The 18,086-nt window shown below is 39.9% G+C and overlaps 1 long non-coding RNA gene across 6 annotated transcripts in view; it reads right to left on the bottom strand.

The window, feature by feature from the left end:
- Positions 1-1,808: 1,808 nt before the first annotated feature.
- Positions 1,809-18,086, bottom strand: part of LINC01094 (long intergenic non-protein coding RNA 1094) — a 38,508-nt gene continuing 22,230 nt past the window's right edge. For 4 of the 6 annotated variants that reach the window (NR_038304.1, NR_038306.1, NR_038307.1 and 1 more), the window contains one exon: positions 1,809-5,549. This is a non-coding gene — a long non-coding RNA (long intergenic non-protein coding RNA 1094). Of the gene's footprint in view, positions 5,550-12,895; positions 12,968-18,086 lie in introns of all 6 variants that reach the window. The other 2 variants (NR_038303.1, NR_038305.1) reach the window with 1 other exon arrangement.

Here is an 18,086-nt window from a genome sequence, read left to right as displayed (position 1 = left end):
CTTGACCTCTCTGAGTGTCGGATTTTCTCCCATGTAAATTGGGGATATGAATGCCGTAGAGCACGGGTAGGGCTCTGCCCTGATTCTGTGGGCCTCCTTCATCATTTCTGTGCAGAAAGCCCCTCTGTCATTTGCTTGCCCAGCCCATATCTGTGGCTGTCTTTGGGGAACTGCCCTTGGGCTACTGGAGCTGCTTGGGGTCATAGCCAGTGAGTGACTGGTGCAGGAGTTTGAAAGCCTAATTCTCTAACCTCAAATAAGGACAAACTTCAATGTGTAATTTACACATTACCCTAGAATACCCCAGCCCAGGCAGAGACTTTACCTGGAAAAGAGACTTTTATCCCCATCTTACACTTCTCTCTCCTGCGTCTAAGGGTCAGCTTCTGAAGAATCCAACTTGAGGCAGCTACCTACTGCCTATGTTTTTTAGGGACTAAAGGAGAAATGCCTGGCAAAGAGACCATTCTTTTTTTTTTTCCTTTCTTTTTTCTTTTTTTTTTTCTAGAGTGGTTATTGCTCCATCACCTAGGCTTGAGTGCAGTGGTGTGATCTTGGCTCACTGCAGCCTCAACCTCCTGGGCCCAAGCAATCCTCCCACCTCAGCCTCTTGAGTAGCTGGGACCACAGACGTGCACCACGAGACCCAGCTAATTTTTAATTTTTTTTTGTAGAGGTGGGGGTCTTCCTATGTTGCCCAAGCTGGTCTCAGACTCCTGAGTTCAAGTGATTCTCCCACCTAAGCCTCCCAATGTTCTGAGATTACAAGCGTGAACCTCTGTGCCCAGCCACAGAGGCCATTCTTAATCCTCTTCAGTTGCTTATACCATCCAATACACTCCAGTGATTTTACTACCACACTGGGAAGATATGACTTGTCAGATATTTTTTACAGTCCTGGAATGGGTTTGTGTTGAGACAGCCATAGTCTCTTTCTCAGTTCCTTACCCCTGGCTATTTCTTCATTAGCTCAGATGTAACAAACATGTGAGAACTTACAGGTTAATGAGACCTTAGAGAACATTGAATCTACTTAGGAACAACCAATGTTGCATACGTTTCTGTGATTTCTCTGTGAGTACAATGTTAAACAGATGCTGTGGGTAATTAAATCACTCTCAAGGTATAAATGAGACTACTTAAAAGGAACGTTAACTATTTCAGAACCAAAATAGGAGATTCCTTCAGTTAAAAAATAACTTACTCAAATGAAATATAATATACATACAATATGCTTTCTCACTATACAAAGACATATACATGTTGCAACTATAGTATTTTATATGTGAAAGACAAGCTGCTTGTATTTTTGGTTCATTTTTTGACAAGTTTTTATAAATAGTAATACTTATCATTTATGACACTTATTACATGCCAGACATGATTCTAAGACATTCACAGACACTATCTCATTTAGTTGACTCAAAAACTCAGTTCAGATATGATCGCTTCAGAGGGTCCCTTCCTGGCCTCTCTGAATTCATCACCTTCAGTTGCTCTGCCATGGCCTTAACTCTACCTGTAATTTTGGTTTATTTGGCTTATATGTTTAATGAGACCCTCCCCACCAACTCTTTCCCCACCCCAATTAAACCGTGTGCTTCAGATAGCAAGTACTATTCTGCCTTGCGTACTTCAGTATCCACAGTTGCTAGACTAGTGGCACATGCTAAGCATTCCATAAATATTTATTGAATGACAGAATGAATGAAAAACTTAATGTAGATGAGAGCTCTGAAGCCCAGAGAGGCTAAAAAGTTAAGATCCCAGAGCTGGTATGGTAAATGACAAAACTCATATGTAAATTCTTGTCTTTTATCCAATAGGAGATATTGTCCTTTATTTTATGTGGGCTATAGAAGGTTGACACATCTCGCCTGTAAGGAAATCACTCTCTAGTAAGGGAAGGAAGTCATTCCCTTCCAGTCAACAAGTACTTATTAACCCTTGCTAGGTATTTTATTAAGCACTAGGAACACAGACGTAAACAATACAAACACAGCCGAGGCTGGCGTGGAGCTTTTTGTCTAGACTCTTGAGTAAAGAAGACAGACATTATAGGTAACAACAAGGGAGATAAGTATTTTGAAAAGGAATGTACAAAGATAGAAAAGAATAGCAAGGTAATCCAACCAAGTGAAAGGGGTCAGGGAAGCCTTCTCTGTGGAAGGGAATGTAGCTTGTCCAAAAAACCGAGAGAAATAAAATGTGAAGGTCATGTAGAGGTGAGAACAAGAATGGCAGGTGGTAAATAGAGAAGAGCCTTGAAGATGATATCTGCAAATAATAATCACACATGATGAAGAGTGATGTGTCCTAACAGAGGTGGATTACAGTGCTATTGGAGTTAGGAGAATGGTAAGATTCTCATTATAGGGGAAGCTTTATGAAGTTATTATAATGACATTTATAATAACTTTGAGGGCTGAAAAAATATAGATACATTGAAACGGGAAGGAACATCCAAACAGTTTCTTGTATCTCTCTTAATTTCACTTTTTGAGTAGGTAATACATTCCCATGTTTTTATAGGTGTATAATGCCTTAAACTGTACAATATCTCATTTCCACTACTGTTTCTCACCCATCCAATCCCCAAGCCCCACACTACCACAGGTAATCTCTTTTGTTAGCTTTTTTGTATCCTTTCAGAATTACTTTATGTAAATATAAACAGTTATAAATATAAATGCTTATCCCTAAACCTTTTACCACACTATATAGCATACTGTATACACCATTCTGTACTTAACAACATGTCTTGGAAGTCTTCCCATATCAGCACAGGAATTACTTCCTCATTTTTTTCACAGCTGCTCAGTGCTCATATGGATGTATCATAATTAATTTAATCTTTTATTGATGAGCTCTTGGAGGGTTTTCAACTTTTGTCTATCAAATAGTTTTATAGATATGGCAGCTTATAACTGTACAAATATATTTATAATTTTAAAAGCTATTGCCAAATTGTCCTCAATGGAGGTTATATGAAAATACCTCCAAATGGTTAGATTTAACTGCCTAACTAACGATGAAGCTAGAGAAGCAAATAAAGTAAATTTTTTAAAAAGACACCACTCATGTACTTGATCATTTCCAATAAAACACTAGGTACAACTAAAAGTTAGAAATGGAAAATTGTATTGTATGTTGGCTCAGGTATGGATCCAAATTTTGTGAGGCTTGAAGTTTATGCAATTGGAGGAGGCTTCTTTAAGAAAAATAATAAGAAATTACAAAATGTAAAATTAGCAAACAGAACTTTGGAAGGGGCTCATGTGAGAGAGGGGCCCAAAGTGTAATCTTCATTTGTTTTGTGGCAAATCTGCTGTGTATAAGACCTACATACACACATGTGAAGGAGAACAAATTACTCATCCTTTTCACCTGGGAGAAACCATGTTCAAAACATGTGGACCACTGCCCTCAACGACGTGTCACTGAGAATAATTCCACAGGCCTTAGTGCTTTCCGCTCCATGATGTACGTAATATTCCCTGTAGTTGCCTTCTATCTCTCTAAGTGAATTCATTCAATTTATGCAACACCTTTCATCTTCAAAATCCCAAAGACCTTACAGGTACTTTTTTTTTTTTTTTTTTTTTTTTTTGAGACAGGCTCTCACTCTGTCACCCAGGCTGGAGTGCCATGGCACAACCACAGCTCACTGCAGCCTCAACCTCCCAAGCTCAAAGGATCCTCCCACCTTAGTTTCCCAAGTAGTGAGGACTACAGGCATGTGCCACCATGCCCAGCTAATCTTTTAATTTATTTAATTTTTTTTTGTAGAGACAAGGTCTTGCTATGTTTCCAGAGCTGGTTTTGAACACCAGGGCTCAAGTGATCCTCCCACCTTGGCCTCCCAAAGTGCTGGTATTACAGCTGTGAGCCACCAATACTAACCATACTAACCATATGACCTTATAACCAATGTTAACAATATGACCATGCTATAGAGAAAACTGTAACATTATAAAGATAATTCCCTGGGAAGAGTTCAAAGGGCCCCCATCAATCTCACCTATCCTGATAATATGCGTCAAAGTTGCAGCTGGCAAGTGGTTACCATTGGGAAATGACTTCTTATATAAAGTTTGAAAAAGATAAGCTGATGAATTGCATGTAATGGTCCAAAGTTAATTATCTATCTCTGTAATAGGCAGCAGCTTGTTTGTCTGTTCCCACGTTTTACGTGTTCCTTAGGCTGGCACCTTTATGGTCCCTCTGGAAAGAGAAGACAGTCAACTGATGAGGAGACAAGACATTTCTTGGAAAAGCAGAACAAGAAAAAACAGGAGCGGAGTAAGGAATAGAAAAGAAGAAGAGGATGCAGAACCAGGGTTAAGAGATAACAGAATTAACTGGTGTAATGCTAATTAAAAACAAAGGGAGAGCTAACAGAGTGATGGGAGGAAGACTTGGAAGGACTGCTGTTGTCTCACCACCAGCAGCCCACAAACCTGTCCTTCAAAGCAGGGCACTTTGTTTCACAGCAAAGATAAATGTACAGGAAAAAAGAAAAAAAAGTGAAAATCAAGTCTAAAAGAATATACAGCATGGAATAAAAATTAAGAAACATGGAGTGCCTGCCAAACAAGATTTAGGTTTTAGTGGAACTGACTTCATTTAATAGAGAAAGACTCACTTCTGATACTTAAAACGTAGGCATTATCCAATTAAATGAGACTTGGAAGGAGTCCATATCCAGTCACCTGCTTTGCAAATTGTAGATGTCCTATGATGAACTTTAAGTCACCTTGACCTTTAGCCAAATATGCCTCATAAGCTGAGTTTCATGTTCATTGCTGGTGTCCAAATGTCCACAGTTGAATTCTCAGGTTTGTGGTGAACAGATTTGGTAACTTCTTTTTAGGAAGCATCTGCTGCTGCTCTTGTTTCTTTATTTTACTTATTTTAAAGATGATTCGTTAGGTAAGGAGAAGAAAGTCACTGAGGCCTTTGTATAAGGTAATTAATTTACCACCACAAACTGATATGCTAGAAATATCACCTTTCATCCTTTCTGATTTTGTTGTTTTAAAAATGCATTTTTTTCAATTTGTTTTTTTAAAAATTTATTCTAATCCCATGGTGTCTCACTGGGTGATGGAAATTGAATCTGTTTCATTATTGAGGTTTGCTCTCCCTCTGATCACATAGGACTCAAGGATACTTCTGCAGTGCCCAGAAAATTGGGTGTAGAAGTCACTATTGTTTTGGCTAACCCAGCAGACATTCTCAAATACCTTCTACTTTGCCACTTTCCTTGCAGCTAGGAGTGGACAAGTGGTCAAGTGATGGTGCTGGCCAATGAGAGGTAAGCAAGTTTCGGAGCTGTCTGGAAAGGCTTTGCTTTTCCTGACAAAATGAATGTAACATCCCAGTGCTCCCTCTTCCTTTCTTCCTCCTGACATTAACATGCACATGATGCCGAGAATTGCAGCAGTCATCTTACAACCATGAAGAACAGGTAGGGAGAATTGCAGACTTGGTGGCCCCAACATCACTGAGCCACTGTTCAATTCCCAGAGCCACTTTCCTCCAGAATTCTGTTGTGAGAGAAAAAGAAACATCCTGTTTGTTTAAGCCACCGTATGTTGGTTTAAAATTTTTTTTATTGTTTGCAGTTAAAAACATTTCTAACTGATTTAAAGAGTAAACAACTCTAACCTCCAGTCCATGGAGGTTATTGCAGATATACTTATTGTTGAATGGTTCCTAGAAATCCAGTAACAAATTGATCTTGGGCCTCTCATTGGAAATGGAAAGTGACCAGGGTTGGGATCCTGGTGCTTGGAGCTCAAAAGTCATGCAGTGATTCTCTCAGAGACCTTGCCTAGGGACCAGAAGTGGGTCCCTGCTTCTCCAAAAATCTATAGACTGCCCAGACTGGAGAAGTTAACCCTTTTCCCATCTTGCCACTTTTAAAGGCACTCTCCTTCATTCAGATCATGTATTACCATCTCTTCTATGAGTTGAGGTTTTTACAAATCAAATGGAGTGCCTTTCTTCAGGAAGCTCCTACTTTCTGCTCAGTTACAAATCACCTCTGAGACAAGGAGACAAAAACTGACTTATCTCACCAGAATTGAGGAGGTTAAAACTATAGAGAGAACCAACACAAATTCATATTTTAATGAATTACCTTGCCACACCTACCACTCCAGAAAAGTAACATCTGTGACAGAAAACACTGTGGGACTAATGATAATTGATTAACTAGGACAACTTTTGATCCCTATACCTGTACCTATTTGCATGGATAAAATCATTTGGCATGATTCTACATCTACACAGAAGGCTTTCCAATGCATGGAGCATGGGTGATATACAGATGCTGCTGCTGCTTCTTTTTCTTAAGTAAAAGGGTCTTGTTTTATCACCCAGGCTGGAGTGCAGTGGCACAATCATAGCTCACGGTAGCCTCACACTCCTGGGCTCAAGTGATTCTCTCCCATTAGGTTCCTGAGTAGCTAAGACTATAGGCACATGCTACCACACCCAGCTTTAAAAAAAAAAAAAAAAGTGTTTTTTGGAGACAAAGTCTTACTATGTTGCTCAGGCTGGTCTCCAATTCCTGGCCTCAAGTGACTCTCCCACCTCAGATCCTTTCGTCTTGGCCCCTGAAAGCGCTGAGATTACAGACATGAACTACTGCATCTGGTCTGAATGCTTCTTCATACAAAAGCAAGACAGCTGGAGCCCCAGAAGCATGCATTCGGATTGTGATGTGGGGATGGGAAGGAGAGTAAGGATGTCTAACCATCTTGGACTTGGGCACTTCTTTTTTTTTTCTTCAATTTTTGATACAGTCTCACTCTGTCTCCTAGGTTGGAGTGCAATGGTGTGATCTCAGCTCACTGCAACCTCCACCTCCTAGGTTCAAGCAATTCTCCTGCCTCAGCCTCCCAAGTACCTGGGACTACAGGTGTGAGCCAACACACCTGGCTAATTTTTGTATTTTTAGTAGAGGTTGGGTTTTGCCATATTGGCCAGGGTGGTCTCGAACTCCTTACCTCAAATGATCCGCCCACTTCAGCCTCCCAAATTGCTGGGATTACAGGTTTGAGCCACCATGCCTGGCCTTGGACTTGGCCATGTCTAAGACTTCCACTGTTTATATTGTTTATATTTTAATTAATTAATTAATTTATATTTTATTATTTTTTTTAACAGAGATGGAGTCTCACTATGTTGCCCAGGCTGGTTTCAAACTCCTGGGTTCAAGTGATCCTCCGTTCTCGGCTTCCCAAAGTGTTTGGATTACAGGTGTGAGCCACGGCACCAGGGCAATATCATTCATATTTTCTTTCTTTCTTTTTTTTTTTTTTTTTTTTTGAGACGGAGTCTTGCTCTGTCGCCCAGGCCGGACTGCGGACTGCAGTGGCGCAATCTCGGCTCACTGCAAGCTCCGCTTCCCGGGTTCACGCCATTCTCTTGCCTCAGCCTCCCCAGTAGCTGGGACTACAGGCGCCCGCCACCGCGCCCGGCTAATTTTTTGTATTTTTAGTAGAGACGGGGTTTCACCTTGTTAGCCAGGATGGTCTCGATCTCCTGACCTCATGATCCACCCGCCTCGGCCTCCCAAAGTGCTGGGATTACAGGCGTGAGCCACCGCGCCCGGCCTCATTCATATTTTCACCTTTACTGTCTATACTTGAGTGAGAGCTTTCATTTGAAAGTATCTGCTTTTTATCTCTGGATTTGTTGTTGTTGTTATTGAAAGTTTTACTTATGTTTAAAATCAATTTTCTGAAGAGGTAACATTTATATGATTAACTGCAGGATTGATTATACTAGCAAATGACTGGAAACAACCTAAATATTATCAACAGAAGTCTGAATTAAACAAATTATAACACAACCATATCATGGATTGCTGTAGCTGTAAAATCAAACAAGGAAGTGCTCTGGATAATCAGTGTGCAAATTCAATCTCCCATTTTGGTCTCTTAGCTGCTAATTTCCCACACCCCTCATAGGTAATTTCTTATATATTTTTCCAGATTTTCTTTATACACCAGTAAATACAAATGTAGATTCTTACTTTCTCCTCGTTTTTATATGAAAAGTAGGATGCTTTACATACTGTTCTGTCGCTTATTTCGCTTAATAATGTATTGGATCTCTTTCCAAGATAGAGCCTTTCATTTGTCCAAAATCATCTTTCACATCTTGTAGTAACATTTTAAAGTTTTTTTCCTGTAGGTCTTGTACATTTCTTGTTATGCTTATTCCTAGATGTTATACTGTTTTTATGGCTTTTGTAGTCTTTCGATTCTATCTTTTAATTAGTTGTTGTCATTTCATACGTCTTAATATCTGCTTATTAACTGTCTGTCCTTTTATTTTTCTCTTGATTTTTAAATATTTCCACAAACTCTGATTAGGTTTAACAAATCATACTCCTTTTGGTCCAGGTTTATCTTTGCAGTGCAAAGTTCTATGTTCTGAAGTTTTTGGTGCCCTGATTGCTGTAAGCCACAGTGTGCTCAGGGCTTCTCACAATAAAGATATTCTTCCTGACAGTCAAAGAATAATTCTAAGTCAGAGAGGCTAAGTGTAAGGGCACTGCCAGACTGGAGCTCAATCAAAACTACGACATAATTTCACAAAAACTGTTCCATTCATTTACTACAACACAGCTAGTGTGTATCTTTCACAGATGTTTGCTTTGTCAGTTGAAACTACAGTCTTTGATTCCTTGGTGCTCACAGCCCAATGTACTTCACATTTTCAGGAACCTGAAGGAAAACATTTTCACGTATTTAGTTTGGGGCCAGCTCAGCACCTAGGAGGCCATCTATCTGCAACATCTTCCTGCACAATTATCTTAACTGCCTACTCTCATAATGACATACAATTTTAATGCAATATAATTACCAAAAATGTTTTCCATTCCTGCATTACTTGTAGGCTGTCATAATTGGCCAGAAGGGACAAATATGATCAGATCTATTACATAATTTCTACTGCACTGAAGCTGTAAGTGGGTGGCTTTTAAATGGGTCAATCTTAGTTATTTTCCAAAAATTTGGAGGCAAAAGGCCATTCAATCCAAACCCAAATATTTGTGACCAACTATCATTCCCTTTCAATAAAAAGCCCTACATTTTCATAATAGTCTACAATAACTGCTCCTAAATTACAGCAAAATTATTTTCAAAGTCAGGTTTCCATTATTTAGGGAAAAATTATAAGGTGTGTGACTCTTCCTAGGCCATATTTCTCTCTCAATGCCTATTTCCCAGTTATTTCAGGTTTCATTGGCAGCTTCATCAGAGCCCATTAGGGAGAAATGAAAATCATGAGATTTGGAGAATTGGTTGAAGAATCACAGAGTGTTAGAACTCATCTAATCCAATCTTATTTCACAGGTAAAGTAACCGAGGAAGAGAATGGTTAAATGACTTGCCCAACGACATGCAAGGACTTCCAAGAGACCAGGATTGCAGGCTGTCTCCTGCTTTCCAGTCCATCATTCCTTCTACCACATCATGATGCACCTTCCTAGGCATGAATGAGAAAACTTGCCAATAATTATTATTGACAAAGATGTGAGAGCTACCAATGAAACTCCACACATACATGCAACACTTCTTCAGCATTTCCTTTTCCTATTGGGCAATCTCATTCACTCTCATAGTTGTCATTACCACTGTGTAATCAATGACTTAAATTAGTATAGCCAGCCCTGGCCTCTTCTATGTACACCATTGCCTGTACTACCCGCCTAATTCACTGACAACTCAAATGACATCTTGTTGAAACTGAGCTTATATTTAATTTCCACTAAATGTGTTCTTTCTGTATTTCCTATTTTGGTTTTTGGCTTGATGATCACCCAGTTGTCTAAGTCCTCACGTTACCCTTCACATCCAATTTATTTTTAATTTCTGTGGTTCTATTACCTAGATATTTCTCACATATTTTCTCATCTTTTCATTTCTATTTACATGTCTTTGTTAATTCTAACCTATACTCTGTATCTTTTCTCTTCAAAATTTTTCTCCATACTACCTTCAGAGTCATTTTTCCAAAGGGTAAATATTCTCTTGCTATGCTTTAGTCTAAAACTCTTTGCTATCGTTTTCATGTCCATTAAATCATGCCCATATAGTATGATGATGATTATTTTCTTTTTTTTTTTTTTTTTTTGAGACGGAGTCTTGCTCTGTCACCCAGCCTGGAGTGTAGTGGTGTGATCTCAGCTCACTGCAACCTCTGCCTCCCGGGTTCAAGTGATTCTCCTACCTCAGCCTCCTGAGTAGCTGGGACTACAGGCACCTGCCATCACACCTGGCTAATTTTTGTATTTTTAGTAGAGACGGGGTTTCACCATATTGGCCAGGCTTGTCTTGAACTCCTGACCTTGTGATCCGTCCGCCTCAGCCTCCCAAAGTACTGGGATTATAGGAGTGAGCCACCACGCCTGGCCTCTTTTTTTTCTTTTTTCTTTTAGATTTGGGGGTACATGTGCAGATTTGTTAGATGGGTATATTGCGTGATGCTGAGGTTTGGGCTTCTAATGATCCTATTGCCCAAGTAGTGAATGTAGTACTGGATAAGTAGTTTTTCAACCCTTGTCTCTCCCCATACCTCCCCACTTTTGGAATCCCCAGTGTTTATTGTCCCTTCTTTGTGTCCTTGTGTACCCAATGTTTAGCTTTCATTTGTAAGTGAGGATATACAGTATTTGGTTTTCTGTTCCTGAGTTAATTTGCTTAGAATTTTTGCATCCATGTTGCTGCAAAGAACACGACTGTATTCTTTTCTATGGCTGTATAATACTCCATGGTGTAGATATACCACATTTTCTGTATCCAATTCATTGTTCATGGGCACCTGGGTTGATTTTATGTATTTGCTACTGTGACTAGCACTACAATGAACATAACAAGTGCAGGTGTCTTTTTCAGTACAATGATTTATTTTCCTTTGGGTATATACCCAGTAATGGGACTTACAGGATTATTGAAGATCCTTCATGATCTGTCCCCTCTTTGCCTAGCTTCATCTCCCACCATAACTTTTCAACGTTAGCTTCTATAAACACAAAAACACTTGCAATTCTTTTAACTTAAGCTATTTCATGCCTCCATGTCTTTACACGTGTAGCTCCCTCTGTCTAAACTATTATCCTCTGCTCACCCTTCCTACATGTCCACTGTTATCCTCATATTCATCCTTCAAGATGCAGTTTAAGAAAGAATCAACACCTCAGTGAAGACTATAGGCCGGGTTTATTTTCAGATTCTTCCTTTTGCCTCATACATACTTCTATTGTTATATATCACCACATAATTCCTTATTTACACATCACTGTGGTATTTATTATTATTATTAACTTTTTTAGACACAAAGTCTCTGTCACCTAGGCTGGAGTGCATGGCTCACTGCAGCCTCGACCTCCTGTGCTCAAGGGATCCTCCCTCCTCAGCATCCCTCCTGAGTAGCTGGGACTACAGGCACACACCACCATACCTGATTAATTTTTTAAAATGTTTTGTATTGACAAGGGTCTCACTATATTGTTTAGGCTGGCCTCAAACTCCTGGCCTCAAGCAATCCTCCTACCTCAGCCTCCCAAAGTGCTAGGATTACAGGCGTGAGCCACCATGCCCAGCCTGTGGTATTTATCTTTGCCTTGAGACTCAGCATAGTTCCTGAATGAATAGTAGAACAAATAAATGGGCACATGTAATAGAGAAACATTTTATGGTCAGATGTAACCTGGTATACTTAAAACATCCTGAAAATAATACTATTGGTCAATGCTGCTTGGAATGGACTCATTGCCCAAGCTTTATAGAACTAAAGTGTTTTAAATTTATAGAATTTTAATAACTATAATTTAAAGTGATTATGATTCACATCTACCTTACCCTTTCATTGAATCATGAGTTTGTTTCCTCACTATGAAATCATTGCATATAATTCTCTCCAGATGACAAAATAGTCATTTCAACATAACATGCAGTATGGAAAAGACATCTTACATTTAATCTCTTTTTCAATAAGGTATTTAACAGAGTATTTTATATATTTGTAGCAGCATTAGTTAGCATCCATAGCTCTACCAATCTTTAGTCAAATTTTGTTGCACAATTGTTAAGATGTTCTGGACTTCCAGGCTTTAAGAACATAAATGGATAAGGCTATTATATATAAACTCATAAATCACATATGTGGGGTTAAATACTGGTTTTACTAAATTAAACGGGGATATTTAGCTAATTGGAACACTAGCCTAAGGATTGGCTAATGTTTCATTTCAGGACTTCTCATATATTTTTACCGGGGTACACATTACAAAGATTAATGATTTTGTATTCCTGGGGAATCTAGATGCTCACCTCCTACAAAGGTAAAATTTATTTAAATTACTAATTATACCTAGATCTTGTATTTTACTCCATTATATATTGCTTTAAATAACTTAATTTTAATAAGACTTCTACATAACTTTAGAGCCTGTGCCAAGTGTAAGCAATAGCTTCTAGCCCTTCCTTTCATTTTCCTGTATATGCCAGGTATTAGGAGTACCAAGTTTGGTAAGCAAGTGGGGAGTGTAAAGAGTACTGCGACCATCACAAAGATTTGGTTGGATCCAACCCTGGGTGTTCCACTTACTAGCTTTTGCTCTTAAGCAAGTAACCTAACCTTGTAGTTTCATTTCCCTCATCTTAATGAAAATAATAACACCTGCCTTAATTCCTCAGAGGATTATTTTAAAGATCTGATGAAAATAAATTAGAGACCTGAAGACTCAGGCTCAGAAAATGGGCAAGAGCAAAGGAAGTTCAGGTAACCAGAACCAGAGCCAAATACAACATATTGAACCACTGCATCAAAGACACTGCTGCTGCCACCAGCAGCCCCTGGATATACTTACCTTGGGCTGCCATCACTGCTGGCCCTGAGTCAGGCTCGCAGAGCATCATTGCTGCTGTTTCCTCTGCCAGCACTGCCAGAATGAATTGTAATATCACCTTATTAAGTCTTAACTCAAGCTGCAAGCAAGCCTAGAAATGTTTGTATCAGCCTTTTTATCTTTTATAGTAGGAGATTGGCCTATGGTCCTAGTCACAGGCCAATGGAGAGGAGACTCTCAGATTCAGCAGAGGATTAAGGCACTAGGTTCACAACATCTCTTTCTTGAACTACTGCCATGGTCTCCTAACTGGTATCACTGCTTCCAGCCTTGCTCCCCTTCAACCACTCTCCCTACCAGCATCAGAGTTTCCTTTTCAAAGGAAAATCTAATTTTGCTACTGTTCTGTGTAAAGCCTTGAATGACCCCGGTTTCCTCAATGCCTAGATAAATACAAACTTATTCTAATACCCTACAAACCCTTCTAATCAGGTGTTCATCCCCCCAGCCATATTCCTCTGAACTTCCCATCCTCCAATGAACTCTTCTGTCTGGCTGAAATACTAGCTTTCCCAGTGAGTCACGCTGTTTAATGCCTCTTTGCTTTCCCTTTTATAAAAAGGTGAACTATGAAGCAATTAAAAAACAAAGATGAGCATCTTTTTTCAGAAAAGGCCAGCACTGTGGGATCTTCCAGGCAGGGAGGGAAGTAAGGAAGGGTTCTTTCCAAGTTAAGGCTAAAGCGAGACCAATGGAAGAGAATTCTATGGCACGCTGCTGCAGGTGGAGGCACAGTCAGCCTGTGATCAGTAGAGAGGACCGCTGAGCCTACCCAGGGCACATAGTCCACATGGAAGAGGACAGGGACCTGTGTCAGGGAGCAGCAAGTAGCCAATTAAGCAAACTCACACCTCTATCCTATTTTTGGGGATGAACATAATCCTGGGATGCTTGTTTTGACCCATGGAGGAGAGAAAGCTCCTCAAATGAATACAATGGAATATTTTACTAATGGACAATGTGATTTCAGGCCAAATTATACTTAATTTGAAGACTGTATACTTGTGGACTAGAAATCAATCATCATGACAGTGCATGCTCATGTTGTTCCTCCACTTGTAGAAACAACCTGTCAACTTTAAGTAATGAGATTCAGAAAATATGATTAAGTATAGAGCTTATTCAAGCACAAAGCTTGCCACCAGGAAACACTTACTCCAAACAAATGGGGTCAGTGTTTCAAAGAGGAGAAGTTAATGTTTCGCTTATATAAGCAGAGACAGAAATTTTAGCAGAATCACAACATTTTCCATACAAGACAAGTGCATACAGTACAGTGATTTGATTGGTTACAAAATGCTACATTTGCTTCATTCTATGAGGAGAGGTAGTAATCTTGGGGGGTGGGGGTGGGGGGTTCTTATCTCTGGTGCCATTTGGTCTTCTTAATGATTTACAGGGAAAAAAAAAAAGGCAGAAGTTGCAGTTGTACATCAAGTGACTCAAGCCACATAGCCGTATTCCTCTTAAGGCTGGAATACTTTAAAATTCTAACAGCTTTAAGTTTGAATTATTTAATTTCACATTTCTCCATTTTCATTAAGATATTTCGAGTAAAGCATAGTAGATGTACTCAACAGCTCTGGGCTCCTTTTATATTCAGGAGTTTAGTCCTGCGTCACTAGGAAGGCTCATTCCGACAGTGTCGAGTCCCACAGCAGGGGAAATAAGTCAAGCTATAAGGCTGATGGGATATTGGCCAATTTTTTTTTTTTTTTGAGATGGAGTCTTGCTCTGTCACCCAGGCTGGAGTACAGTGGCACGATCTCAGCTCACTGCAACCTCTGCCTCCTCGGTTCAAGTGATTCTTCTGCCTCAGCCTCCCAAGTAGCTGGGACTACAGGTGTGCACCACCACGCCTGGCTATTTTTTGTATTTTTAGTAGAGACGGAGTTTCACCAGGTTGGCCAGGCTGGTCTCGAACTCCTGACTTCATGATCCACCCCCCTCAGCCTCCCAAAGTGCTGGGATTATGGGCTTGAGCCACCACACCCAGCCTGGCCAAATTTAATGCAAAATGAAGGAAGTGACTTTGTGACCTGAGTCAGGCTACGTGGCTGCAGTTAATGCAATTCTGTGAACAATCATTATTTCATTTTTTTCAGCTCTGCATTGACTTCATTGTGAACAAATGCCACAGCAGCAATAAAGACAAAAACAGGAAAAAACCGAACAAATGATTATGTTTCCAAGAATAAGTCCCAGCTTCTGCCACCAAATTCCCCATGATCCAAACCAGCTGCTTAGCTGGTCATTTAGAGTGTTGGATCTGAAAGATTAGTTGAGTTTTTATATCAACCATTAATTTAGTGATGTTATCTGGATGATAGACACTCAGTTTTTATGATAGCATAGGTTCCCCCTTGGGCGGCAGTGAGTGTGTCTAAAGCCACATGGTTTTATAATGCAGCCTTTCTCATTGGAGCAGCTTCATTGTTTAATAACAAGATACCCATGCAGCTATTATTTAGGACCTTTTGGTTAGGGCCTCTACTTGCCAAATGACATCCTCAATACCCAGTTGTGGTAGAGAGATGGAAGCAAAATGATTCTACCAATGGAACAAAGAACAAACACAAGATTGTAAATGATTTGTGGGTTTTGAAAGGGTACCAGCTATTTGACCTTGGACCCAGGCACAAACCAAAAAACACCATCCTAACTGTCCTCGGGGTAAGCTTGGCCATTGTATTTGTCTGTCCTCGCACTGTTATAAGAAATACCTGACACTGGGTGACGTATTTTTTTTTTTGACACTGGGTAATTTATAAAGAAAAGAGGTTTAATTGGTCCATGGTTCCACAGGCTGTATGGGAAGCATGGCGGTATCTGCTCGGCTTCTGGGGAGGCCTCAGGAAAACTACAATCATGGCGGAAGGTGAAGGGGGAGCCAGCACTTCACATGGCCAGGAGCAGCAGGAAGTGGAAGAGGTGCTACACACTTTTAAACAGCCACATCTCATGAGAACTCACTATCTCCACAACAGCACCAAGAGGGATGGTGTTAAACCATGAGAAACCAGCCCCATGATCCAATCACCTCCTACCAAGCTCCATCTTCAACAATGGGAATTACAGTTCAACGTGAAATTTGAGCAAAGACACAGATTGAAACCATACCAGCCATAGATGGGTGCTGCACAGCCAGGGCTTTCCGTTTGGAGCTGCCCATTAAATACCCAGTTGCTGTGCCCATTCACTGGCAGGCCAATTAATACTTTCTAATATAATTTAATAAACCCTTAACTTTGTGAGTGGCCAAATGGCTACTACTACTCAGTTTTCAAGACTCAGTTCCAATATGCAGATAAAGTTGTGAAAGAATGGAGAAAACTGTTAAGATTAGTTATCTCTGGGAAAGGAGAGTAGGTAGGGGTGATCATGAGAGGGACTTTTCACTGTATAACCTCCTATGCTATTTGAATATCTCACAATATTAGTGTATTATTTTTATAATTGGATTTTCAAAAGTTAGAGAAATGGGGGTGCCGTCTTTGTTTTTTTTGGTTTAAAAATGACCTAAAATGTCTTGTAAAGAAGGCGCAAAAGCCATATGGGAAACAATAAGTAAAAATACCTTAAGTAGTTTTTAAAAATTATTGTCTTAAACATCATTGAGAGCTGTTGTCTCATTTAAAATGTACTCATTAACACGCCAAAGGATAAAATAAATAAGTAAATAAGGAGCATGTCGTATGTCCTTTGTAAATGCAAAGCAATTCTCTCATCCACCATTAGTGGGCCATCAGCCTTCCTCTTCAATTCCTACCTGACTGTGGGACATGTCCAGCCTTCTGAACTGGGTAGACCATGTTCTCCTGTTAGTCTTCCTACCACATGTACCCTGGTATCCTACCACAGTACCATATACTGTACTCTTCTTTTCAAATGTGAATCAGGTGTATGTGATCATTTGATTTTCATTATAACCCTGGAGAAATAATGAAAGACACCTATTACCTCTTTGCTGATGAGGAAAACCTCTGCAGTTTTTGATGGAGCTAGGATGAGGATCCTGGTCTCCTAACCAGGTAGGACATTTTCTCTGTTTCTCCCATGCTGCCTCATCTCTTAGATTGTTAGACCTGGACTCCCAAACCACCATGCACGCATTCCTTTTTTTTAAATGTGATTATTCTAGTGATACTGTAAACATAGCTCCCTAATTCTCTTCTAATGCTATTTCACAGCACTCTACTGTTTTCCTGATAACATAAAAAATTGAATATATATACATATATTCCAATAGAGTGTGTGTGTGTGTGTGTGTGTGTGTGTGTGATATTTTTTTCCCTAACCAGGCTATAAGCTCAATGAGGGCAAGGACTATATGTTGCCCATCATGACTCTATGCCTATTTAGTGCCTGGCATATTTGTTGAATGAATGAACAAACACTAGCTACTTTGTTAGTTCCTCCTGTTTCCGTTGCAGAATTATTAAAACTAATTTGAATGGAGAAGGAAATTGGTTGAGTCAGGTATCTAGGAGGTTCAGGAATCAGTTGGCTTCAATCATAGCTCTGTGGAGGTTAGACTACACTTCTTTTCTTCTTCTTACCCCTTCCACTCTTCCCCTTCTTTTTCCTCTTTCTTTCCTCCCCATTCTCCCTCTTTTCCTCTTCCTCCTCCTTCTCCTTTTGCTCCTCTGTCTCTGCCATTTTCTCCTTCTGCGGCTGGACCTGCTCCACCTCCTCCATGCAGGGTGGTGAAGATGGCACAGGGAAGCTCTGGGATCTCTTGCCCTAGCTTAGCATCCCAGGGGAAAGAAACATATCTATTTCAACATCACTATTTTAATTTCAGGAACAGATAATTTTAGGGTTGGCCAGGCCTGTGTCCTATGCTCCCAGTGTGGCTGGAAGGGGGGTAGGGTACAGTGATAGGCAGCCCCTCTGAAACCATGTGGAAGCAGGGAATAGTGGTTTCCCCAAGGAAGGAATGATGAAAATAACATATGTCTGCCATAAATATTTTCTTAGGGAATTTTATTAAGAAGTAAAGAAGAGGCTACTTTTAATATGAAGCAACTTCCTGTCTTTTTGAATTAAAGTTCCTTAGATGGAGCTAAATTATGACCTTTTGAATTGTTTGACTTAGATCATAAACTTTTACAAGATGAAGTACACTTTATTCTTCGAGTCTCAAGGTGTT

The sequence above is a fragment of the Homo sapiens genome, chromosome 4, assembly GCF_000001405.40.
Source record: "Homo sapiens chromosome 4, GRCh38.p14 Primary Assembly".
NCBI lineage: Eukaryota > Metazoa > Chordata > Mammalia > Primates > Hominidae > Homo > Homo sapiens.
This window is presented reverse-complemented; position numbering and strand designations above follow the sequence as displayed.